We start from the raw sequence: 26380 nt of genomic DNA, 5'->3' as shown, positions 1-26380 counted from the left end.
GGCCTTAGAATTTTACTTTTCATTTACAGGAAGGAGGAGAGCATAATCACCCAACAGATTCTTCCTGCCACTTCATGGACAAAATCGATCCTCTGAGACCACAGCACTGCAAAAAGAGAAAGAGTTTAATTGACGCCAGGCCAGCTCACACTGGATCAGCTGGAGTTATCACTCAAATCAGTCTCCCCAAAGGCCTGGAGGTTGTAACTTTTCCAGGATAGTATGGGGGGCAGGGGGCTGTGGAGTGGGGAATGTTGATTGGTTGGGGATGAAATCATAGGGATGCAGGAAAATGGGCAGGTCTAGGTGGAGTCAGCCAGTTATCAGGAATACAGGAGTCAAAAATCACCTCAAAAGACTAATTTTAGGTTCTACAATAGTGACGTTATCTCCAGGAGTAATTGGGAAAGTTTTAAATCTTGTGACCTTCAAAACAATGGCTGCTTATCATTTATGCCTACATCTGAGAATTCAGGCCCTCTCATCTTCCTAACCCTGCAGCCTTTCATTAGTGTTACAAAGTCAGTTTAGTCTGGGGGAAGGGCTATGATCATCCTTGCTTTAAGGTTAAACTATAAACTGAATTTCTACCAAAGTTAACTTGGCCTATACCCAGGGATGACCAAGGACAGCTTGGAGGTTAGAAGAAAGACGGAGTCAACTATGTCATATTTCTCTTATTGTCATAAATTTGCAAAGGTAGTTTCAAGAGCACACTACCTTCCAGATGAAGAGCAAGTTTAGGTGTGAAGGTGGAAGGCTGTCTGTCTTTGCTCAGTGAGACCAGAGAAAACGGGGGTAGACGAAGAACTTGGAGGGGCAGACAGGGGAGCAGAGCCTTAACGTGGAAGGACTTCCATTATCAAACGTTTAGTCAACACCTACCGTGTGCTGGGCACTGCAAGGACATCTGGGGATGACAATGTCACCAGGAAGAATGAAAATTGTGCTCTATAGCATTGGGATTGGAGGAGCCTAATGAGAAGAGATAAACCTTAGCTGGGCGACTCTGGACAGGTAACCAAAAGTGATGCCACAGGGACCTGGGCTGCTGAGGACATGGTGGGAATGGAGAGGAGAAAACTGTTGCCTTGAAAGAAGTGGGAGGTACTGCCCAGGCATGGGGGACACAAAATTCACATGATTCAGAAACGGGCAGGTTTCCAAGCAGGGTGAGTGAGAGACTGTGGCGCCAGAGATAGACGTGATCGCCAGGTGACCTAGGCAAGACACTTAGCCCATCTCCTTGTCACCTGAGGGTGGTAGTAGTTTCCTGCCTACATTAGAGGATTGTTGTGAGATTCTGTGAGAATTTGTTTTTAAATCATTTTAAATGTATATCCAACATAGGATTAGAAAATGTTTTACTTTGTATGCTGGTTAGTAGGCCTCTGCCCTTTCGATAGTGACTTCAGCTCTTCATCCTTCATTTCGGACATAGATAGTTGTTTTTCTACCTCTACCTTATATCATTTTTAGAACTATTAGCTCCAGATGCCAACACTTTAGCCACAGCCCTGCTCCTTGTGTGCTACAATTGTTCTCTGGGCCATGGATGCAGTTACTGTGTGTGAAGCACTTCCTATTTGCAATATTATCTCTCTACCTTCTGGGTTTCTAATCCCAACAACGACCTCTCCAGTCCTGATGGGCGAGGTCAAGTTGTTCTGTCTCATTCCGCCGCTGACGAGCGGGACAAGGATAATCACATGATGAATGCAGGACGTCAATGTCTCCCCACGGCATTTCTCCCTTTCCTGTGGAGAGTCCTCAGACAGTTACAGAACGAGCATCCTGTTTATCTTGCATCCTTATTTTGTATAGACAAATTGATTTTCGGTAACTGGATTTTTAATGCTATATTAAAGAGTCTTTGTGGTTGCACTTATAAAGAATGGCAGCATGGGAAAATGAAATGAGCCAGTAAAGGGAGGAGAGAGAGGGAGAGAGGAGGAGGAAGAACTGAAGTAGTTTGAGAGCCAAGCCCTCCCCTTCTACTTTCCCTATTTTGGAACCTCAGTTCTCAGCGGCCCTCCCTGGCTGCCTTGCCTTTGCTGATGCCGCCACGGAGCCTGGACAGAGGCAGGTGATGCAGACGTGGAGTAAGGAGTGGAAAAGATATCCTCCAAGAGGCCTTAGGGAAGCTAAAGAGATGGGGTGAAGCCACTAACTCCTACCTGCTGACCCAACTCTTTTTCTCTCCCTGTATCATTTCCAATTCAGCTTTATTTTTTGCTCAGTTGCTTAAGCTTTTGGCAATGTATCTAACCCCTTTGGCATCATGGAGTTTAAACAGGAATTCAAGGACTGAACCCTTCCTTTCAATCTCTCTCTTTTCTCTTGGTATTCAGAAGTCTCAGGTCTCCGTGGAGTGGAGACCTGAGTATGGCTGTCCCCACCAAAAAGGTGCCCTGAGACTCACTGTCTGCGAGGCAAAATACTCCAGCTCAGTCTTGTGTTGAAAGAAAAGCTAGACTTATAGAAAAAAAAAATGCTGCACATTTGCTTGATAAAACGGACTAGGCATAAATTTTTCAGAGCAATTTGAAATAGAAAATATATGTACCATATAATCTTCCATTGTTCCTGAATGTTTAGTCCCTTTCTTGTATGGCAAATCAGTTAACATCTGAGATGTTGTTACCTCTGAACTACAATATTTAGCTCCCAAGAATGTTATGAGGAATAATAATATGTAGTCACATATATTCCTTAGAGGAATCACCCAAAGTAAACTAACAAAATTAATTACACAATGATTAACAAATATTGGGTGCTATGTACTAACTGGTATTAATAACACCAATAATTATTATATTACATGTGTCTTAAATAGATCCACGCTCTGCATAACTTTTTATATCCTGCTTAAATAATAATTGTTTAATTGCCATGAGACTTTACAGCATTAAAAATTGTACAAAGAAAATTTCAGAGGTTTCATCCTTTCTGTATTCCAAACACCCTTAAAATTCATCTTCCAACCTGCTCATAAAATGAAAATATGCAAAACAGTATAGAAAGGGAGAGTTGGCCAGGCAAACTGGCTCACACCGGTAATCCCAGCACTTTGGGAGGCTGAGGCGGGTGGATCGCCTAAGGTCACTAGTTCAAGACCAGCCTGACCAACATAGTGAAACCCTGTCTCTACTAAAAATACAAAAACTAGCCAGGCATGGTGGTGGGTGCCTGTAATCCCAGCTACTCTGAAAGCTGAGGCAGGAGAATCACTTGAACCCGGGAGGCGGAGGTTGCAGTGAGCCAAGATCGTGCTATTGCACTCCAGCCTGGGCAATAAGAGTGAAACTCCATCTCAAAAAAAAAAAAAAAAAAAAAAAAAAAGAAAAGAAAAGAAAACGCGGGAGGAGAATTAACTTGGACAATAAACCAGTTTCGAAATGAAGACAAGTTTCCAAAGCATGGGAGGAGATGTCATTTACAACAGCACACAATTATGGTTTGGCAGGAAAGAAAGCCTATCACAAGCTAACTGCTATAATAGATTTGAGTTTCTTTACATGTAACTCTTTTTGGCACTAAGCCAGAAGCAGCAATGACCCTCCCTCTCTCTCAATCTCCGTGTGTGTGTCTGTGTGTGTGTGTGTGTGTGTGTAAAATGTACTCATTCATCCACTTAACTAATGTTGATTGGCCACCTAATTCATAACAGGCACAGTGGGAATGGAATAATGAGCAAAACAAAAAATCCCTCCTTTCATAACATATATGCTCTAGGATAATACATAAATAAGCAAGTGCCCAAGTCACCTACTCATTTATATATGGACTCAGAAGTTGATGTGTGTATATACATATGTATTGTATTGAATTATTTACTTCCTTCCTAGCTGCAACACCATCTTAGTAGTACAATAATCACAATCTATAGTTCCCAGCCATTTCGGCTTCCATTAATCTCTTCAACTTCTCCTCCAAGGGACCTGCATAAGGCTGAATGGTTAACTGAAAACCGTAATAAAGAACCCTCTCGTGCTGGCCCCTGACTTAAACCAAGACAACAATTAAGAGTGGATTCTTTGCTTTAGGTTCAAGATGATGAACAAATGGAACACGAGAAGGTGCCACTCAAACCTGAGTCAAGGAACACAGCTAAGTCCTCGAGGCAGGCCAAGATTCATACCTGAAGATTTCTCCAGAAATAGGACCTCAAGGCAAAGCCAAAGGCATGAGTGGAACCATAGAGCCCAAATGGGTGGTTATGGATGGGTCTTTTTAAAAGATTATTAATTATCATAGTAAAATTATACATGACATAAATTTTATCATTTTAACCAGAGTACAGTTTCATGGCATTAAGTATATTGACAGTGTTGTTTTATCATTAACAATGTCTTCAGGACTTTTTCATCTTCACAAACTGAAACGCTGTACCTATTCAACAATAACACCCCAATCTCCTCTTCCCCCACCATCCAGTTTTTTGTCTCCATGAATCTGACTCCTCGAGGAAACTCACATAAGCGGAATTGTATTTGTCCTTTTTTTTTTTTTTTTTTTTTTTGAGATGGAATCTTGCTCTGTTGCCCAGGCTGGAGTGCAGTGTTGCAATCTCAGCTAACTGCATCCTCTGCCTCCCTGGTTCAAGTGATTCTCCTGCCTCAGCCTCCCGAGTAGCTGGGACTACAGGTATGTGCCACCACGCCCAGCTAATTTTTGTATTTTTTAGTAGAGACAGGGTTTCGCCGTGTTGGCCAGGCTGGTCTCGAACTCCTGACCTCAAGTGACCCACCTGCCTTGGCCTCCCAAAGTGCTGGGATTACAGGTGTGAGCCACCATGCCTGGCCTGTATTTGCCTTTTTGTGACTGGCCTATTTCACTCAGCATAATGTCTTCAAAGTCCATCCATGTTGTAGCAGGTGTCAGAATCTCCTTCCTGTTTAAAGTTTGAATCAATCCACGACGCCCTCCACGTGTTCCACTGCCTCTTCTCTTCTCGCTTGGGAACGCCGGTCTCACCTCGGCTTGCAATGGACCCCAACTGCTCCTGCGCCGCTGGAGGCTCCTACGCCTGCGCCGGCTCCTGCAAGTGCAAAAAGTGCAAATGCACCTCCTGCAAGAAGAGCTGCTGCTCCTGTTGCCCCCTGGGCTGTGCCAAGTGTGCCCAGGGCTGCATCCGCAAAGGGGCTTCGGAAAAGTGCAGCTGCTGTGCCTGATGTCGGGACTGCCCTGCTCTCGGATGAAAACAGAATGACACGTAAAGTCCGGGATTTTTTTTTCTACAACCCCGACCCATTTGCTACATTCCTCTTTTTTCTGTGAAATAGGTGAATAATAATTAAACACTTAGACTTGAAAAGTAAAATAAAATAAAGTTTGAATAATACTCCATTGCATGCACGTACCACATTTTGTTTATCTATTCACCCACTGTGGGTTGCTTCTACCTTTTGGCTACTGTGAAGAGCACACAACGAACATGGGTGTACGCATCCACTTGAGTCCCTGTTTTCATGAGAAGTGAGTATAGTGAGGAGCCAAAAAGTGAGAAACTACACAGCAGACAAATTAAAGGTGGTCTGAAGGAATTCCTAAGAAAGAAACGCTGGGGTCGACAGTCGCCTTTCACACATTCCCCGTGAGGGCTCTTGTGGGCAGACTCATTTGTGTAAAGAGACCAGGAACAGCGAGCAATCTGCTTTCATTCTTTAACACATCTAAAATATTTCTCCCAATTCCCTTTATGACTGAAGATATACATTTAAGAACCATCTGGCTGAGATGAGAAAGTGCAATCTGTGGCTACAGCCCCAGACTCGTTAATTGTTCAAGAAATATTTGCCAAGTACCTTATGTGTCAGTCATCCTACTACGTGCCTGGGATACACCTGTGAACAAATCATACGAAAACGTCTGCCCTCGAGAGGCCGTCATCCCATTGAGGGGAGACAGACAGTAAAAAATACATACAATCTAAGCAAGTTACATAATGCTACATAGCAGCATCCTTGTATCCATTTGCTCATTCATTTATTTAATCATTCAACAACTATTTACTGAATACCTATTATGAGCAGACCCAGGAGAGAGCTGAGCATAGAACATCTTACTTGCTCTTTGGAGCTGAACTAACCAGCATTCTACACACGAATCACAGTGTATTGCGTTTTATTTTCTAGCACCAGTAATTGAAATGAAGAAGATGTGAAATGATGATATGAAGTAAAGAAGACTAAAAGGTATGTTCAATTACCGGAAACTCAATTGTAAGACCAATTAGAATCTCTATAAGTTCTATTCATAGAGAATTTGCCTTCAAAGACTAGGAGAACATAGATGCAGGGCACTCCTTGATGTATTTTTATATAATTTCAGGTCTATTTTTCAGTTTCATTGCAATTATAAAATGACAAGCAAGCACTCCCAAAAGCCTGACAAAAATCACTGGATTCTAAAAACGGTGTTTATTCATATTTACATCTCAATGGCAATAACTCTTTTTTGCTTTTCGCTTTGGAATATTATAATACTAATATCTAGTCGGAAAGCGTAGCCATAAAATTACACATAAAAACTTATATGGTATGATGGTGAGAAATATTCTTTTGTATTCAAGTTTAATTTGACATTCCTTAAAGAAAGGGGTGTAGTTCAAAGCTGCAAAAGAGAAAGGAACATTTATAAACTACTGAGGGATTAAAAAGCAGAAACGAAGGCCTGTCATTGGGTTTGGCTAATAAGTGTATTTCATCCTCCAGCTAAGCAGCTGTGGTGGGCAGAAGGGCGGCTGGGTCACCTCCACTCACTTTGCTGTTCTCACTGGAGTGAGGTCAGAGGCTTCCCACAGGAGCACAGTCTGTCCCTTGGAGCAAGGAGCGACAGAGCTTGGCTGAGAGGAGAAGAAACATCACACCGCCCTCACCTGCTAGCCCTCACTTCCCTCTCTGTGGCTCCTCCGATGCTCCACTTTCTCCATAGGCAAAAAGCCACCTATATGTCACCTGTGCACCTGTGTGTTGAGTCTCTCGTGGAACATAATGTTGTACATTTTGAGAAAGACACAATTGCTAGATGGAGCATGAGAAGCCTCAGTCCCTTCCTAAGGGAAAGGGATTCAACCTCCTATCATTTTCCCCCAAGTTGCTGAAACTGTGTGGCCACATGGGTAAGCCTTGGTCAAAGCCCAGGAGGAGAGAAAAGCAGCAAGGCCTTGGGAGAGTCCCAAGAAGGCACCAGCAACAGGTCAGTGATGAAGGGAGAGAATGGAGGTCTGGGTGCCACAAAAAAGCAGCCACTGGAACTAACTCACCTGAGCATCTGGCTGTAGGTCTGTTGCCAGCAAACTGCTGTGACAGAAAGAGAGTCATACCAGATTTGCCAGTTGTGTGGACTTTGCCTCAGTTTCCTCCTGGTGACATGGGGTGATTGTGAGGATTGAAGGGTTAATCAAAGAATGCACTCAGAAAGTATCAGCTTTCATCCTGAGCTGAGTAGTCATGGCCAAGTCAAAACCCCAACTCCCTCGTGAGCTCGCCTCTCCAAGTTCTCACCCACCGTAAATGCCTGGGCAGAAAGGAGCTCTGCAGCACCTCTGAGGGATGGTCTCCAGATGCAGGTCAGGTCCATGATGACGTTTTCACCAGTCCTCCATGGAAGGAAAAGGAGGGAAATTTCGTGGGTGTCTGCGGGAGATAGCCCACTGTCGTTTATTGGGAAGGAATGACCCTTTTTCCAGGATTATTGACTTCAGAGCCACGCATGGCATGCAGGCTGCTGCTGGACACCTCCTCAGGGATCCATCCATGTTGACCACATGGACAGTGGTGCTTCTTGGAGCTGTGCAGCATGGCAACCTGGCATGCTCATTTGGTGACAGTGGATCGTGGTTGGTTTTCTCCTTTTCCTCATCTTTTTCCTCCTCCTCACCTCCTTCTCCTCCTCAGTGTCCTCACTGGCAATGAGATGAAGAAGGAAAAGCTACCAAGGATGCAGCTCAAGAGCCAGTCTTCCATCACCCCAGGGAATAGAGTCCCAGCCTGGGCAAGAACGGAGAGAAGACAGAGAGATAGAACAAGTTTACGCTCTGTTTCCAAAAGGATGTCACAAATGAACTTAACAAAACTCACCAAGAAACCTCAGGCATAAGAGAAAGAAATGGGGAGATACCAGAATATACACCTACATTCCCTTTGTCCTATCCAGAAAAAAAAATGACATCTTCAAGTCATTCGTGGTACCCAATGGACATGACAAAGTTAAGCACCCGCATTCTGAAGCAACTCACTTCAACATATCGTCCTCCCACTCACTTACTACACATGCTTTTCCATTTCTATTCTTTAATCTCCTCCATTTCTATTTTTTATTATCTAGTTTTCTCCGTTTTATTGATATATAATGATTTACATATTCATGAGGCACATATGAGTGTTTGCTCCATGCAAAGGATGTGTAATGATCAAGTCAGGGTAATTGGGAAATGCCTCACCTTGAGTGTTTATCATTTTTGTGTTGGCTTCAAGTCCTCTCTTTTAGTTACTTTGAAATATGCATAACATTGATGCTAAGTATCATCACCCTAGTGTGCTATCAAACATCTGAACTTATTTCTTCTATCTAACTGTATGTTTGTACCCATAACCAACCGCTCTTCATCCCTCTTCCCCTACCACCCTTACTATTATTTTCCTTTTTTTTTTTAAGACAGGGTCTGGTTCTGTCACCCATGCTGGATTACAGTGGCATGATCATAGCTTACTGCATCCTGGAATCCTGGGCTCAAGTAGTCATCCCATCTCAGCCTCCAAGTAGCTGGGACTACAGGTGTGAGCCACCATGCCCAGCTGATTTAAAAATATTTTGTTAGTCTGGGTGCTGTGTCTCACACTTATAATCCTACCACTTTGGGAGGCCGAGATGGGAGGATCGCTTGAGGTCAGAAGTTCAAGACCAGTCTGGTCAATGTAGCAAGACCGTATCTCTAAATAAATAAATAAATAAATAAATAAATAAATAAATAAATAAATAAATAAATTGTTGTTGTTAAGGGGTGGAGTCTTGATAAGTTGCCCAGGATGGTTTTGAACTCCTGGTCTGAAGAAATCCTCTTGCCTTGGCCTCCTAAAGCAATGGGATTATGGGTGTGAGCCACCAGGGCCGGCTACCATTTCTATTCTTATGAGAAGCAACTAAACAGGGCATCAGGATGACATAGTAAGAGGAGTATAGGTTTGGAAAGCAGGGTTCCTAACGGGCAGTGAGTGGGACACTTGCCAATGCCAAACCTGAGAAATTAATTTATTTTCTCAAGGAAACCGTATTAGATGTTCCCTAAGGAGAGCATTTTGAGATTGAACGTAAACTTTCTCAGCCACATCAAAAAGCCTGGTAGTGAAGCACAGGGCGTTCGACACACTGAAGGGCAATCATTGGGCTGAGCTTCTGCCCTGTGCTCCCAGACCACAGTCTACAGAATCAACTTCTATAGACTGTAACCATTTGATCTAAATGCCAGAGCCTGGGATGCCCAAGGAAGATAAAAGCAAGGGTCATATTTATGTTCTTTTATTTCACATCCATTGAACAACTGTTCAACGGGCACCTCCTAGCTTCCTGTCTCTCTGGATGGGGTCCTGGGAGCCAGAAAAACAAAACAGACTTCCTCTCTCCAGAATGTTCACAGCATGACGGGGGATGAGACAAAGCCGGTCCTCAGCAGTGCAATTGCGCTTTAACTAAGCATGAAGGGGGTGTGTCCCATGCCAACCACATCTCCATAGCCCTGTGGGACAAGATGCACAGGACTTCCCTGATAAGAGAAAAACAGTCCTCTGATAGCACCTGGGGATGCACGCCACTATCTTCAGTGACTATTTGGAAGGATCAAAACCGGTTGATGCCTTAACTCACGGCAGCAGCAGCTCTACTTCAGTGAAGAAAACCAACAGAAGTTCACGTTGCAACTGTGCTGTTTATGACCCCGAGGAAGCCATCGGGCCACCTGGGCTCTAGGGTTTCCCTGCTGGGAAATGATCCTTTTCATCTCAGGGAAGACAGTTATTATTATTATTATTTATTTATTTATTTATTTATTTGAGACAGAGTCTCACTCTGTCGCCCAGGCTGGAGTGCAGTGGCGTGATCTCAGCTCACTGCAACCTCTGCCTCCCAGGTTCAAGCGATTCTCCTGCCTCAGCCTCCTGAGTAGCTGGGATTACAGGCGTGCACCACCACTATGCCCGACTAATTTTTGTAGACACGGGGTTTCACCATGTTGGCCAGGCTGCTCTCGAACTCCTGACCTCAAGTGATCCACCTCCCTCAGCCTCCCAAACTGCTGGGATTACAGGCGTGAGCCACCATGCCAGGCACTGGGGAAGACAATTCTCATTCAATTATTCAAGCCATTCTCTCTCTCTCTCCTCTCTTCCTCTCTCCCGCCCTCTCCCTTTCTCTGTCTTCCTTTTTCTCTCTCTCCTTCTCTGCCTCTTTCTGTCTTCCTTTCTCTCTCCCTCTCCCTCTCTCTGTCCCCCTCCCCCAATTCTGCCCCACCACCTGTCTTTGAGAAGAGAGAAGGGACAGCTGTGTTCCCTCCCTAGCCACCCACTGGGACTGCAGGACCAGGAGGTGGGCCAGTTCTGCTGACATCTGATGCTAACAAAAAGCATCAGCGAAGCCGCTGCTCAGCCTCTCCTGGCTGTAGGAGGAATCACTGCTGTGGAACATGAAAAATTAATTAGGAGAAGATGAGTGCCTGGGCCTCCTTTCTTCTCAGACCCAACGGAATCAATAAAATCCTCAGCTCCTGCCAATAAAAGGCAAAATTGTGCATTACCCATGGACAGCCAGAGAGCTGTCAGAATTACAGAATATTGAAACTCGAAGGCCCCTAAATGTCCCCAAATTGTCCAAAGAGTCTTTGTGATTTATTCACTAACACAGTAAGTTGGTGTCAGGGGCTTGGTTCACACCTGTATCTCTGAATGGACTTGGACCACATGAACCAGAATCAGGAATCCTCCTGCACTCACAAAATCATGGAGAGGAAGGGCAAGGGGGTTGCTTGCTGCAGAGAAACCCTAACTCCCTTTCCCTATAGAAATGCCTCCAAGTAGAAGTGGAAAGAAAGAAATAACACACCTGTGCTCACCCCCGCCTGGGCCCTGCCTTTGGCCGCTGGGTATGCCGGTCTCCTCTATGCCCTCTGAGTAACAACAGAAACAAGAACTGAATCCCGAACAGTGGTGGCCAGGGAGGGCCCGTGTGGAGGCACGGCCAGTCTGCCACCTGCCTGCACTGCACCGATCTCTCCTGCGTGAGATCAGCCAGCAAGGCACGTCCAGGGCCTGCCTGGGTTAAGTGGCTCTCAGATGAGGTAATAATGACAAAGCTCTCCTGAGCCTGGTGAGTTTTCCAGGCATGGAGTCAGGTCGCCTTATTTAGTCTGATTGTTAAAACCATTCTTTAAATATCCTGCTACGGGAATTTACGATGCCTTTTGAAGCTTTTTATTTAACTGGTAGTGTTTTGTTCCTCTTTTCCAGAGCCGTGAGGATGGGGAAAACTGTTTCCTTCCACCACGTATTCTGGTGTTGAAAGGTCAACCTCAATGTTAGAGAAAACACAGCACCCGGCCCTGCTCCCCTTCTCTTCGCAGGTGAAGTCACTGAGTGACATGGTGTGTCAGGTGCCCTTGGGTTTGTGGGGGAAATGAGGACACTGATGTGTAAAAAGCCAACAGCCAAGGAGAGGACAGAGGCCACCCTGTGTAGATGCTGCCTCTACAGCAGGTGACGAGAAGCTGTTCTCCCCTCTTTGGTTTTATCAAAGCTGGTGAGCACAGTCCTGTCAGCAGACAGACGCGAGGGGACGTGGGTCAGGCGTGTCATCCACGGGATGGGCAGGGGCCTAACGCCAGCAGCAACCCGCATCTCCATTCAAGGGCATGGGCACAGGGTCATGGAGCGTGTGTGACTGATTTGGCCATGCCAGAAACACAGTCCTGGGGAAAAGAAGAACAGCAAGAGATCGCAGATGCTTCTCACCGTCTGGAATTTTCGTAACATTCTACTTTCCCCAAACCTCTTACTGGCAAAAGTCTTATCACCAATCATAATGAACTTTGAGTTCATTAAATTGAATTTTATGTTAATATGATTTTTTTTTGAGACAAAGTCTTGCTCTGTTGCCCAGGCTGGAGTGCAGTGGCACAATCATGGCTCACTGCAGCCTTGACCTCCAGGTCTCAAGCGATCCTCCCACCTCAGCCTCCCAAGTAGCTGGGACTACAGGCACATGTCACCATGCCTAGCTGATTTTTTAATTTTTTGTTGAAACGAGGTCTCACTATATTGCCCAGGCTGTATGTTAATATAATTTCCAAACATAGGACTAGGTGTAAAGATAGCAACAATTGCATTAAACATGAATGACGTTTGTGTAATGCTGTGAGCTGTTATCTGTACTTTTTTTTTCTTTTTTATCTTTTTTTTTTTTTTTTTTTGAGATGGAGTCTCTCTCTGTCACCTCAGCTGGAGTGCAATGGCATGATCTCAGCTCACTGTAACCTCCGCCTCCTGGGTTCAAGCGATTCTCCCGCCTTAGCCTCCTGAGTAGCTGGGATTACAGGTGAGTGTCACCATGCCTGGCTAACTTTTGTATTTTTAGTAGTGACGGGGTTTCACCATGTTGGCCAGGCTGGTCTCAAACTCCAGACGTGAGGTGATCCACCTGCCTCGGCCTCCCAAAGTGCTGGGATTACAGGCATGAGCCACTGTGCCCGGCCTGGTACCTGTACTTTCGTGCAGGTGTGCAGTGACCATGTACCCAACAGCTGCTTCAAGCGCACGTAAGTACTTCCTCTCTTCTAACCATAGGACCAGGCCAAACTGGGCCTACTCTGTCGAGTTACCATGTAGGTATAACACAGCCAGAAACTGCAAGTCATGTAGCCTGAGCAATAGGAAAGGCGTTGACCCCTAATAACACCCACAACCAGTAAGTCCTTCCAACAGAACCAGAAGACTAGGACATGACCAGAACCTGAATGCTGGAACTATTTCAGATGCAAGGAGTCCATTGGCCCCAAAGATCAGGGGTAAAATCTGCCTCAACATACCTTACTATAAATGGTCAAATGTCAGACCTCCAGTCAGACCCTGCCAAGCCAACTATTCCTAAGTCCTTTTCCATGGCCCATGAGCCCTTAAAACTTGCCCCAGACCCCCAGTGGAGGAGACAGATTTCAGCCTCCCTCCTGCTTCCTTGCTGGTCTGTCTTGCAATAAAGCCTTTTTTTTCTCAAAAGCCCGTGCCATAGTATTGGCTTCTGTGTGCATTGGGTAGAGAGCCCATCTGCTCAATATGACTTTCTCCTGGGCCCCAACAATTGCCCTTGTCTGAGCTCCTTGAGGAAGCTCCATGTGCTTGTTCCAGGGACATCTCCCCTCCCCAAAAGGCCCCATCAACTGAGGGCTTCAGCAGAGGTTGGTAATGCCAGAAACCTAAGTGTCTGCTGGAGTAAGCTTGCTCCTACTACAAGAGAGAACCATGGCCCAGAGACTCCGTAATGTCAGCTATGCTGGGCTCTAGCCAGACACTTAGGCCTGGACATTTGACTCACCTTCCATTGAAATAGGCCATGAAGACTAACCCCTTCAAGTCTCTCAGCCCTGTTCACTTTAGCCACCCATGAGAAGCTGAAACTTCCCATACAACAGCACCCTGATTTCTTGTCTTTTTTTCTTTTTTTTTTTTTTAGACAGGATCTTGCTGTTAGGCTGGAGTGCAGTGGCACAATCATGTCTCACTGCAGCCTCAAACTCCTGGGCTCAAGCAATCCTCTCACCTCAGCCTCCTGAGTAGCTGGGACCACAGCCGCCACCACACCCAGCTAACTTTTAAAAAATTATTTTTAGTAGAGACTGGGTTTCACTTTGTTGCCCAGGCTGGTCTTGAGCTCCTGGGCTCATGTGATCCTCCCGCCTCAGCCTCCCAAAGTGCTGGGATTACAGGCATGGGCCACCATGCCTGGCCTGACCTTTATTACTATATTCTTCATAACTGCCTAATATGAGCTACCTCTCTCCTCCCATCTTTTTTTCCTGGGATTTTTTGTTTGTTTGTTTGTTTTTTGCCCTCAAAACAATTCCTTCGCTATCATTTCAGGTGGGAGCAATGGTAAATGTGTAGGCTTAAATTGCCGTCCCTTATGCAGAAGCCTCCAGTCACCTGTCTTTACTTGGGCCACTTCCAGTAGTCCCTCCCCTGAGCCTTCTCTGATTCCTTGTTGTTGTTGTTCTGTTTGGTTGGGATTATTTTTGTTATATTTTGTTTTGTTTTTTTGAGCCAGGGTCTCCCTCTGTTGCCAGGCTGGTGCGCAGGGGTGCCATCATGGCTCATTGCAGTCTCGACCTTCTGGGCTCAAGCGATCCTCTCACCTCAGCCTCCTGAGTAGCTGGGAATACAGCCATGAGCCACCACACCCAGCTAATTTTTTATTTGACATACTGATGACATATTAATCTCTCAAGGCCCGATGGGAGGGTTTGGGTGAGTTGTGGAGAGTGATAATGAATTAAAAGACCTGAGAAAGCTGAATGCTAAACCAGTATTGAAGGAGGCCAAGAATCAATCCAATTAACACCAGAGAATCCCAAAGTCACAAGAATTGGTGGCAGTGGTTACCTCTAGAATACAAGTGTGCGTGTGTGCATATGTGTGTGTGCATGTGTGTGTGCATGTTTGCATGCATGTGTGTGCACATGTGTGTGTGCATGTGTGTATGCATGTATGAGTGTGTGTGTGTAAAGGTAGGTCTAAATAAATAGTGCTAAGTTGCTTATGAGTTAGATCCTGAGATCCTCTCCCCAGCTCCCTCCATAGAGATGGGTGGATGCACCCTGTCTATCCCAGCAGGAGATGGGAGGCTTGTTCTCTGAAGAAGGTCCCTGGACTAGAGATGGAGGCCCAGCTGGGAGTGAGGGCACCATACTGAAGCAAAAGGGCTGAGTAAACACATATTTATAGATACTGAAATCCCCATCCCTTTTCCCAAACTCAGCTCCCAGAATGCTGGTGGCACATGCTACTTCTCTAGGTAGATATTGGAAGAGCCTTCACAGGGGCATCTGACTATCCCTATAAGAAAGACTTAATGCTACTGACAGATTTTTCCAATGTAACAGCCCAGCTACTTTCCTAACAGCGATTCCTACAATTCCACCAGCCCCACAAACAAACTTAGAGCTTTCAATAGTTTTCTTAGTAAGCCACTCTTAAAAATGAGCAACCAAGAAAACCAGGCATTTGAGAAAAGCCCCTAAAATAGGTGTTAGAAACCAAAACAAGCAGCAAAAGAAAACTTGAAAGAAACAGCAGTTACACAAGAAGAAGAAAATGCACAAACTTCTCTTTAGTATCATCAGAGAGAAAAGATATTGCTTTCATAAAACAAAAACAGAATGTCTTCAAACAGGAACATTCAGAGAAAAGAAAACTACTCTTAAAAATTAAAAATATGAGAAATTTAGCAGAAGCAAGGAAAGATAAAGTTGAAGCATTCACTTAGAAAGTGAAGCAGAAAGAAAAAGAGATAGATCATAGAAGAAATGATAAGAAAACTAGAGTACCAATTTAGGAGCTCTAACACCCAAAAGTAGTTCCAGGAAAGAGAGAAGAAATGGGAAGAAATTATAAAAAAAAAAAAAAAAACATAATTTCCCAGAATCAAAAGCATTTATTTTTGTAAGAGTACAGGAAGTACCCAGGATATTGTCATAAAATTTCAGGATACCAGAGACAAACAATGGAGCAGAAATCAAAATGGCATCAGAAAGAGAAGGCAATGCGAGAATGTCTCTAAAATATAAAAGGTATATTATTTCCAACATAGAACACTTGATCCAGTCAAATGATGAATCAGATTTCAGGACATATTAGAGTTCTCCAGAGAGACAGAACCAATAGAATATATATGTAGAGAGAGAGCGATAAAAGAGGATCTATTAGAGGAATTTGCTCATGCAATTATGGAGGCTGAGAAGTCCCATGAAAGGGCATCAACAAGCTGGAGAAGCAAGGAAGCCAGCAGCATGGCTCAGTCCAAGTCTGAAAGCCCTGAGAACTGGGGAGGCCCCTGGTGCAAGTCCTGGAGTCCAAGGGCCTAACGCTCTGACGTGCAGGGTCATGAGAAGGGCATTCCAGCTCCAGAAGACGGAGGGTGAATTTGCCTTTCCTCTGCCTCTTTATTCTACCCAGGCCCCCAACTGACTGGATGGTGCTACCCACACTGAGGTTGGATCTTCTCCCCTTAGTCCACTGACTAACATGCCAACATCCTCTGGGAAAATCCTTACAGACACATTAAAAAATAATGCTTTATCAGTTATCTAGTTGCCCTTAATCCAGTCAAGTTGACACTTAAAATTAACCATCAATCACATAGGATAAAATAAATGTTTCAATGTTATGATGGTAAAGTCTTATAAATTTACCTGTCATAAACCATGGGAACATCAATTATCCAAGGAAGCTATAAAATACTTAAAGAAACAAAACAAAAGAAAAAGAGATGGCCACAGCAAACAGGGTGATATGGTTTGTCTCTGCGTCCCCACCCAAATCTCATGTTGAATTGTAATTCCCAGTGTTGGGGGAGGAACTTGGTGGGGACCCCCGTCTGGTGACTGGATCATGGCGGTGGATTTCCTCCATGTTGTTCCCATGATAGTGAGTGAATTCTCACGAGATCTGGTTGTTTAAGAGTGTGTGGTGCTTCCCGTTTCGCTCTCTCTCTCTCTCCTGCCACCATGTGAACAAGGTGCTTGCCTCCCCTTTGCCTTTTGCTATGATCGTAAGTTTCCTGAGGCTTCCCAGCCTTGCTTCCTGTTAAGCCTGTAGAACTGGGAGTTAATTAAACCTCTTTTCTTCGTAAACTAGCCAGTCTCAGGTAGTTCTTTAAAGCAGTGTAAAAACAGACTAATACAGAGATTACAACAGGTTGTTAGGAAGCAAGATCCGGGATAACAGCTAAGTTCCTGGCATAAAAGGCAGCCAGTCCAGACTACAGCATGTTAGAAAGAAGATGAAATTGATAGGTTATCTGTTGCATTTGAATGTATCGAGAAAAAATTGAGACATGAACACAGAGTTTAGGGTTCAACTAATTATTAGGATTGGGTTGGTGATAGAAACCAAGCAAACAAGACAATGATTACTGCAGAGAAAGCAAAATATTTTTTATGAAAGCTAAAGTAATTACAATTTATTCCATGGCTAAGCTTTGATTAACATTTTAATTAAAAAATCATTTAAAAGTCATATTAGGCCAGGTGCGGTGGCTCACGCCTGTAATGCCAGCACTTTTGGAGGCCAAGGCAGGCGGACCACTTGAGGCCAGGAGTTCAAGACCAGCCTGGCCAACATGGCGAAAGCCTGTCTGTACTCAAAATATTTTTAAAATTAGCCAGGCGTGGTGGCAGACACGTGTAATCCCAGCTACTTGTGAGGCTGAGGCAGGAGAACCATGTGAGCCCAGGAGGCAGAGGTTTCAGTGAGCTGAGATCATGCCACTGCACTCCAGCCTGGGTAACAGAGTGAGACCCTGTCTCAAAAAAAAAAGTCATATTACAGTAAACCCTAAATATTGATCTTATCAATATTATGATAAAAGTATTTTTGGAGTTGGGATGGGAGAATCAAATAGGTGGATGTTTGTGGTGGGAGAAAAAGATAAAAGACAAATCCTCATATTTCGTAACGGAGTGTAAATTGATATTGTAGAAAACTGAAAAATCAAGAAGTAGCCATCTAAGCATGTTATTTAGATACATGAAGGTAGATGCCAAAATAATCAGCTAAAGGAGTTGAGCATGGAGCCCATTGGAAAAGGGATTTAAAAAGGGGAGAGAAGAAGCAGGGCCCTCTGCCTTTAGTACTTTAAAGCCTTTGAACACACTTGCTTTAAACTATGTCTGTGAATAAATTTGGTAAACAACAACATAATAAATAAAAGAAAAACAAAGTAATAGGTCAGGACATTTCTAACAGAGGGAACAGCGTAGCACGGCCTCAGCAGCACAGAATGCTTTGTTCACATAGGGCTTAGGATACAAAGAGGAAAAGGCACAAAGAGATGAGTCAGGGACTTCTATGTCTTCTTAGGTTGTACAAAGCCCCCAAAAGAATATTCCTCATATCCTAATGCTGAGAGAAAGCTGGATCATCTACAAAATCAGAGCTTGTCTTGAACCCAATAGAGAGCTGAGATTTCAAGGCAACCAAAGGAACTAAATTTTAAGGACTGACAAGTGCCTACAAAGACAAATGAAACGTATTAACTTTTTTAACATTGGAAGAGCACAGGAGGAGAAAGAAGTGGTGGTAGGAGTCTGTAGAAAGGAATCAGCTAAAAATTGAACAAATTCCTGAAAGCCATAGGTGGCTAACCTATCCATTTAGAACTGAGAGTCAGATACATAGAAAGTTTGCACTCATCCCAAGATCTTCTCCATGAATCTCCACACAACAGCTGCAAGAAAGATTGGAGGCAGCTAGGGGAAGGGACCAGAGAGAGCTCCTGTCATTGACACGGGTGTGCAGGAAGCAAATGCTGCCTCTCAGGACAGGCATGAAACGCCACTTGCTTCCTCAGACCTTTGTCTGCTATGAAGCAATCACCTCATGCCATGAGGGAGCAGCAACAACCCTTTCTCCCCCAGGGATGGTGAAGAAGAGGAAGAAGAAATCCTGTCTGCTTCTAAGGGAGGAGTAAAAAACCCTCTATTCTGCCCCTACCCCCGAATTATCCAAAGATCTACTGTGTCTGGAGGAAGGGTGGAAGCATCAGTTGTCTGCTCCACAAGGAGGGGCAGGAAAATGTCATTGACCCAGGATCCTGTGCCAATACATAACAGGGGTCTGCTCTTGCAGGGAAGTGGTAGGACATACTCTCCTGCCCAAGACCTACCAAAGACACAAGGCAAAGTTCAGCTGTGATGGGGGGAAAAGGGAGGAATCCCAAGAAGTCCTCACACCTGAGGCACCCAGGTCCTGCCTAAAACTGAGCTGGACCAAGAGAAGTGAGAACCTGCCTACCACTCACAATGAGCCCAGCACTGAGTAATAATAGTAGTCTTCCACTACAGAAGGGGAAGATGTGGGTAGGGAACCCCTATCGGATTGGTGTGCAGAGATGACTGAAGCTGAAAGTGGAGCACAAACATGAGAAGTCCCTCTGGCAGGCCACCATGGGGGAATATGAAGCCTGTGGTGCACTGAGGATAACAAACAACAACATTCAAATACTTCTCAACTACTAACTAGATTGACTAACCACTCCACACACACATATTAATGCCATGAAAGAAGAGATGTTTCTATTTCTAGGTGTAAACGTTATTTACCTAATTCACTACTGTTCTGTAAATGATAACCATCATTCGATAACAGGTTACAAGATACACAAAAAATCAAGGAAAACACAACTTACTGTCAGGAGACAAAGGAATCAATAGAATCAGACCCAGAGATGACTCAGATGATGTAACTATTGAACAGAGACTTTAACTGTGATGAGTATGTTAGTACCTAGTAGAAAAGATGGGCCAAAGCATGAACAGATAAGAAATTTAAGCAGAGAAATGGAAACTCTCTTAAGAAGTCAAATGGAAATGCTAGCAATAGAAAATACAATATCAGATAGCAAGAATTTCTTTGATAAGCTTATTAGAAAGCTGGACACAGCTAAGGGAAAAAGTTAGTAAACTTGAATATAGATAAAGTAGATTATTCAAAATGAAACAAAGAGGAAAAAGAGTAGGAAAAACCAGCAGGGAATCTATTGACAGTTGGACAATAGCAAATGGTCTGACATTTGTGGATTTTTTTTTCAAGACAAAGGCTCTCTTCATTGTCCTAGCTGGAGTGCAGTGATGCAATCATTGTTCACTGTAACCTTGAATTCCTGGATTGAAGTGATCCTCCCACCTTAGCCGACTAAGTAGCTAGGACTACAGGTGCATGACAGCATGCCAGCTAATTTTTTAATTTTTTGTAAAGATAGGGTCTCCCTATGTTGCTCAGGCTGGTCTTGAACTCTGGGCCTCAAGGGATCCTCCCACCTTTGCTTTCCAAAGTACTCACTGGGACAACAGGCATGAGCCACCACACCCAACCCATTCATGGAACTTGCATCAGAAAAGAAGAGAAGGAGGAGGAGGAGAGAGAAAGGAGGAGAAGAAATATTTGAAGAAAAAATGGATGAAAATGTTCCAAAATTAATGAAAAACAACAAACCATGGATTTAAGAAGCTCAGAGAGAACCCAGGCAGGATAAATAAAATGCACACATACACAAATATACAAAAACACACACTAAACACATCAGTTAAACTGCTGAAAGATAAAGTGAAAATATTATGAGCAGCTAGATGAAAAAATGAGTCTGAAGAGGTAACAAAAGACCAGATCACAAGGAATTTATATGCAGATCACAAGGAGTTTTTATACCATGCAAACAACTTCGGATTTTTTTCCTTCCTGATGGCAAAGAGAAGACACTAGCACATTTTAAACAGGGAAGTGTTCTGATCAAATCTGCATTTTACAAAGATCTCTCTAGCAGCAGTGTGGAGAATGATTTGGAGGCGGTAAATCATAAAAATGGATAAGTCTGTTGTGATATATTCCTATAGGGAAACAAAACAGAGAAAACAAATGAACCAGAGCTAAACATATTACCATGGATGAATTTCATAAGCATAAAGTTAAATAAAAAATCAACTTGCAGAAGAAAATGTACACTAGAACACAATTTATATAAACTTAAAAGCAATGTTGTTAAGGAATGAGACATTTAAAAATAAAAATCATAGGAATGTTAAACAGAAAAGTAAAACACCCTGGGGAGGGATAGACAAGGGATGCAATCAGCAGAAAGTACACAAAGGTTTTAAAGACATTGGTAGTATTTTATTTTATTCTATTATTATTACGGTTTGTTTGTTTGTTTGAGACAGAGTCTTGCTCTGTCTCCCAGGCTGGAGTGCAGTAATGCAATCTTTGCTCACTGCAACCTCTGCTTCTTGGGTTCAAGTGATTCTCCTGCCCCCAGCTCCTGTGTAGCTGGGAATACAGGTGGGCACCACCATGCCTGGCTAATTTTTGTATTATCAGTAGAGACAGGGTTTCACCATATTGGCCAGGCTGGTCTCAAGCTTCTGACCTCAAGTTATTTGCCCGCCTCAGCCTCCCAAAGTGCTGAGATTACAGGTGTGAGCCACTGTGCCCGGTCAGTAACATTTTATTTCTTAAGAATATGGGTGTTGGTTTTATTATTTTAATTTCCCTTTGATATTTGCAATATAGCATAATAAATTTTGAAAATAAAACTAGCAAAAAATAAAACAAATTTTCTGTCTATAAATATTTAATGAAAAAATAGACAAATAATTTTGAATCTCTCCAAAGAAGATACACAAATAATCAAAAAGCACATGAAAACATGCTCAGTATTAGTAGTCAGTAGAAAAATGCAAATCCAAACCCCAATAAGATATCACTTCACATTCACTAGGATGACTAGAGTAGAATAGACAGAAAACAGCAAGTGTTGACAAGGACATGGACAAATTGAAGGGCCCATACATTGATGATTAAGAATGTAAAATAGTGCAGCCATTTTGAAAACCAGTTGGAAGTTCCTCAAAAAGTCAACCATAAATCCAGCCGTTGTACTCCTAAATATATACCCAAGAGAAATGAAAACAGCTGTGTAAACAAAGACTTGGACATAAGTGTTTATAGCAGCATTATTCATCATTGCCAAAAGGTGTAAACAACCCAGACATCTATCAGTAGCTGAATAGATAAACAAAATGTGGTATATTTGTACAATGAGACATTATTCAGCCATAAAAGGCAAAAGAGATCTGAATAGAAATCAGAGTATTCAACCATGAAAGAATGAAGTTCTGATATACACTGCCACATGGATGAACCTTGTCGACAGTATGCTAAGTGAAAGAAGCCAACAACAAAGGACCACGTGTTGAATGATTGCATTCTTATGAAGCATCCAGAACAGGCAAATGTATGGAGACAGAGAATCAATTAGTGTTTGCCAGGAGCTGGGAATAGGGGAGAATGGGAAAAGACTCCTAATGGGTATGGGATTTCTTTTTGGGGTGATGAAAATATCCTGGGACTACATGGCAGTGGTGGCTGCATGACCTGTGAATATACTGAAAACCACTCGATTGTACATTTTTGAAAGGTAGAGTTTATGAATAATATTTTAATTAAATATAATTAATTAAAATTAAGCTAATGGGAGGAAGATGTTGATAAATAGTATAGGCCAGGCACAGTGGTTCATGCCTGTAATCTCAGCATTTTGGGAGGCTGAAGTAGGAGGATTGCTGGAGGCCAGGAGTTCAAGATCACCCTGGGCAATATAGCAAGACCCCATCTCTACAAAAGTATTTAAAACTTAGCCAGGCATGGTGGCACACACCCATAGTCCTAGCTCCTCAAGAGGCTGAGTCTAGAGGATTGCTTGAGCCCAGGAGGTCAAGGTTACAGTAAGCCATGATCATGCCATTGCACTCCAGCCTGGATGACAGAGTAAGATCTTTTCTCTAAAAAATAAATAAATAAGTGTTTAGATAACGTGTTCTCCACAGACGTGAAGGATGTTACAATACTGATGGAAAGGCAAAGTTTGAAGGGAGAGGAGAGAAGCACCCAATGCCAGAAATAATGGAGAAGGTCGCTGAAGAGGCTGAGGGGATGGAAGCCAGAGTACCATTGGGGAAACTTTCTCATACCCAATGGCATGAGAAAGGGAGGATGCGAGCTGCAAGCCTGCAGCTGAGTGGGTACATAGAAGATACAAAAGTTAAGAGGTTGCCAAGACACTGTGGAGGCCAGATCTGATATGGGGTCTGAGGGGAAGGGAGGCGTCCATGGTGATCAATGGATGCCTTGGGAGTTTTGACGCCAGGTGCCTGGGAAACACCATTTAGGAAACAGAACCACTTTGGGGACAAAGACAAGGTCTATTTTGAGTATGCTGAATTCGATGCATTGGCAGGACATTCAAGTGATGATGTTCAGCAAGCCGTTAGAAACTTAGAATTCCACGAAGTGGTCAGAGGTGGAGATGTGTTCCAGGAAAGAAAGATACAAAAATAACAGCTGAAATTGTGAGAGTGAGTCATCTCCCTGAAGAAGCCAGTGGAGAAGGGAGAGAAGAAGGCCAAGGAAAGACATTGAAGGATGTCCCCTCCAAAGAGAGGACAACATAGAAGGACCCATGGAGACAAACAAAGTGTGTTCCAGAAGAAGCAGGGTAATAGAAAGAAAAAAGCATCATAAAGCCATAGAATAGGAGAGCTTCGTAGACAAAAGCGGGTAAAATGGTATTAAATGTTACCATACAGAAGGTAATAACTACTAAAAGGCTTTTGGAAATGATGAGGTCTTTGGCAATTCTGATGGAAGAGTTTTTAACGGAGGGCAGGGATGGGATCCAGAGTCCTCTCCAAGATGAAAGTTTAGGAAAGCTGAGTGCCAGAACCACATAATAGGACCACTCACTGCTCTTGACTTCCCATAAGAACAAAGCCAGAAGGACCCTTTTTGGCATATAATGCTCAACTCAGTCTTAGAATATGACATTCAACTACACAGTCATTGCACTCTGTAGTATTCCATCCTGAAAGCCAGAATCAGACCAAAAGGCTCTCAGGTATGCCAAAAAAATAGCATCTAGAATATCATCATTGAAAGGTGCTAGGATACCACATAGCCTACCCTCTGCATTTTTAGATGGGAAAAATTGAAATTATCTACATTTGGCTAAATTAATTTCCAAAAGATCTTCAGCCTTTTGGCGGCAGAGGCAATTCTATAACCAGAAATCTCTGGCTCCTTCATTATCATTGTGTCTCCTGGGAATACATCACTTGCCTCTGTGAAATAACCTCTGACGCCCTTTAAGAGGTGACAGAAAGAAGCGGTGGAGACATACAATGCCTGGAAAAGTCTGACTCTTAGCCTGGCTTGATGGAAATGTGCTCAGCTTACTTTGTGAAGTTCTTCCAGCTATAAAAGCAGAAGACTCGCTCATTTGTCATTGATTTGGTGAATCTAGGAGAACGTTCTTTTTCTGCCCTTGTCACAATGATTTTTGTTGCAATGTGTCAACTGGGATGTCAATGAATGACAGCATTTATCCAACAACACAGTCAGATCATCTTAAGAGAGCTCCACATGGCTGAGGGAGTGAGTCCTGCTCCTCAGTGGAGGTGAGAATTTTGCCTCAATTACCAGCAGAAGGCCTCTTTTCCCCCCGTTTAGTATAGTAATGTGTCTGCACCTAGGTTTTCCCGCCTTTACTTTTTAAATAGCCTTATGCTTTATATATACCGTACAAGTCACTCATTTAATGCGTTCAATTCAGTGGTTTCTAGTATATTCACGGAGTCGTACAACCATCACTGTGGTCAAAATCAGAATATTTTCATCACCTTTAAAAGAAAACCCGTAACTTGTAGCTATCATTTACCTATCTCTATGACTCAGCCCACCCCTAGCCCTAAGCAACAACAAATCTACTTTCTCTATAGATTCCCCTATTCTTGACTTTCATATAAATTGATTTATATAATATCTGGACTCTTGAGACTGGTTTCTTTCACTTAGCATCATGTTTTCAAGGTTCATCCATGTTGTAGCATGTATCAGTACTTCACTCCTTTTATGGCCAAATAATAGTTCACAGGTGGTGTGGATATGTTTTGATATCCATCAGCTCATTGATGGACATTTGGGTTGTTTCCACCTTTTGGCTATTGTGAAGAATGCTGCAATGAACATTCATGCACAAGATTTTGTGTGGAGCTCTTTGGAGTCCTACCATGCTGATGATTAAGTCCTGTGCCTTGTCCTGAGCTTTCTCTGTCCTCCTCCTGGAAAAGATAAGAGCTTCTTAATGCACTTAGCCTTTCATTACTTTCTTCTAATCATCAATCATGCTTAGATCATCAATAGCTCCTCAGTTCTGTTGTCCTTGCAGTAACTATTCCCCACATATTCCTAAAATACCAGATACCTCCACCAGCTAGAACATTCCTTCCCTCTGGCCTACCATTCAGTAGAGCAGCAAGTCATAAAAACTGGGTTACAGGTTACCACTTTGTGCCATGTCTGTCTTTGCTCCACTGACCACCAGCTATGGGGTCCTCATTGCCAGCCAGAGAGGGATTCAGCTCTCAAACCTCATCTAGCCACTTGCTTTCCTTTTCTTCCTCCCTCCCTCCTTCCTTCCTTTCCCTTTTTCCTTCCTTTCTCTTTTTCTTTCTTTATTCCTTCTTCCCCTCCCTTCCTTCCTTCCTTTCTCTCTCTCTTATCTCTCCTTCCTTCCTTTCTTTCTTTTTTTCTTTCTTTCTTTCTCTTTCTTTCTTTCCTTCCCTTCTTTCTTCCCTCCCTCTTCCCCCACCTCCTTCTCTCTTTCTCAGCAAGGTCTCACTCTGTCAGCCAGGCTAGAATGCAGTGGTGCAATCATAGCTCACTGCAGCCTCAAACACCTGGGTTCCAGAGATCCTTCTGCCTTAGCCTCCCGAGTATTTGGGACTTAAGGAGTGCACCACCATGCCCAACTCATTGAAAAAAAATGTAATCGTTACAGGGTCTCACTGTGTTGGCCAGGCTGTTCTTAAACTCCTGGCTTCAAGTGATCTTCCCAACTTCGCCTCCCAAAGTGCTGTGATTACAGGTGTGAGCCACCATACCGAGTCATCTTCTCTTTCTCAAATCACTTCCAGGACCAACCATTGCAGATTGCGTTCTCCAGTAAGCAGACAGCGAGGTGGATAGTAGGCAGGATAAGTATTTATTATGGAGGGCCCTTGGGTCAACAGCTGTGTCAGGAAGGAAACAGAAGCAGGATTGGGCAGAGGGAGAAGTTGAGATTGATGTAGGGTTAGTGACAAACTCAGATGACCCATAAGGAGTTCTGGAACTAACACGGTCCATGTTGTCTGTCCCATGTTGGTCCAAACTGGCCCAGCTTTTATATCCCTGCTGTGATTAGTCACTGGATGTGGCCTTCCTGTCTGCATACACACTTCCAGCAGGTGAGGCCACAAATCCTCCTGCAACAGGGGATCTGGTGCTGCATCTCTACTTCCAACACAAGGCTTTATTGGAAGGAGTCTTCAACACATTTTTGGAAGCAGAAACCCTCTACTTGTATTTAATATCCTCCCCATGGGAAAGGATGATACATCATTTCAGGGCTTCCTTAGAGAGGCTAAGGAATGTTCTGTCCTGTTCTTTGAGAAGGTGTGAGGGTGTGTGCTTTTGCACATTGGGCCATCCCTCTTTGGCCACAGCATTCCTGTTCTTCTTCATAACATTGA

General features: G+C 43.5%; 1 protein-coding gene and 1 long non-coding RNA gene across 2 annotated transcripts, besides 1 other annotated feature; one reads left to right on the top strand and one right to left on the bottom strand.

Moving 5' to 3' along the window:
• The first annotated feature begins 4919 nt into the window (after positions 1–4919).
• MT1HL1 (metallothionein 1H like 1) lies at positions 4920–5258 on the top strand. Its single transcript, NM_001276687.2, has one exon. It carries the CDS (start codon positions 4989–4991, stop codon positions 5172–5174), a length of 186 nt encoding a protein of 61 aa, NP_001263616.1. The 5' UTR covers positions 4920–4988; the 3' UTR covers positions 5175–5258.
• A 1046-nt stretch (positions 5259–6304) lies between these two features.
• Positions 6305–26304, bottom strand: LOC107985368 (uncharacterized). Its single transcript, XR_001738551.1, has 3 exons — positions 25751–26304; positions 24877–24928; positions 6305–7994 (listed from the first exon to the last, which is right to left on the bottom strand). It is a non-coding gene; the product is annotated as an uncharacterized LOC107985368 (long non-coding RNA).
• Positions 9144–12049: an enhancer, noted in NCBI's record as "VISTA enhancer hs2137". NCBI's record gives its function as "enhancer in: hindbrain (rhombencephalon)[6/8] | midbrain (mesencephalon)[7/8] | cranial nerve[6/8]" and the evidence as "EXISTENCE:transgenic organism evidence [ECO:0001131][PMID:17130149]".
• Positions 26305–26380: the final 76 nt, after the last annotated feature.

The sequence above is a fragment of the Homo sapiens genome, chromosome 1 (genome assembly GCF_000001405.40).
Source record: "Homo sapiens chromosome 1, GRCh38.p14 Primary Assembly".
Lineage (NCBI taxonomy): Eukaryota > Metazoa > Chordata > Mammalia > Primates > Hominidae > Homo > Homo sapiens.
This window is presented reverse-complemented; position numbering and strand designations above follow the sequence as displayed.

What these genes read in the sequence shown, in the direction of transcription:
- MT1HL1 (NM_001276687.2), top strand. Translation starts at nt 4,989, where the DNA reads ATGGACCCCAACTGCTCCTGCGCCGCTGGAGGCTCCTACGCCTGCGCC.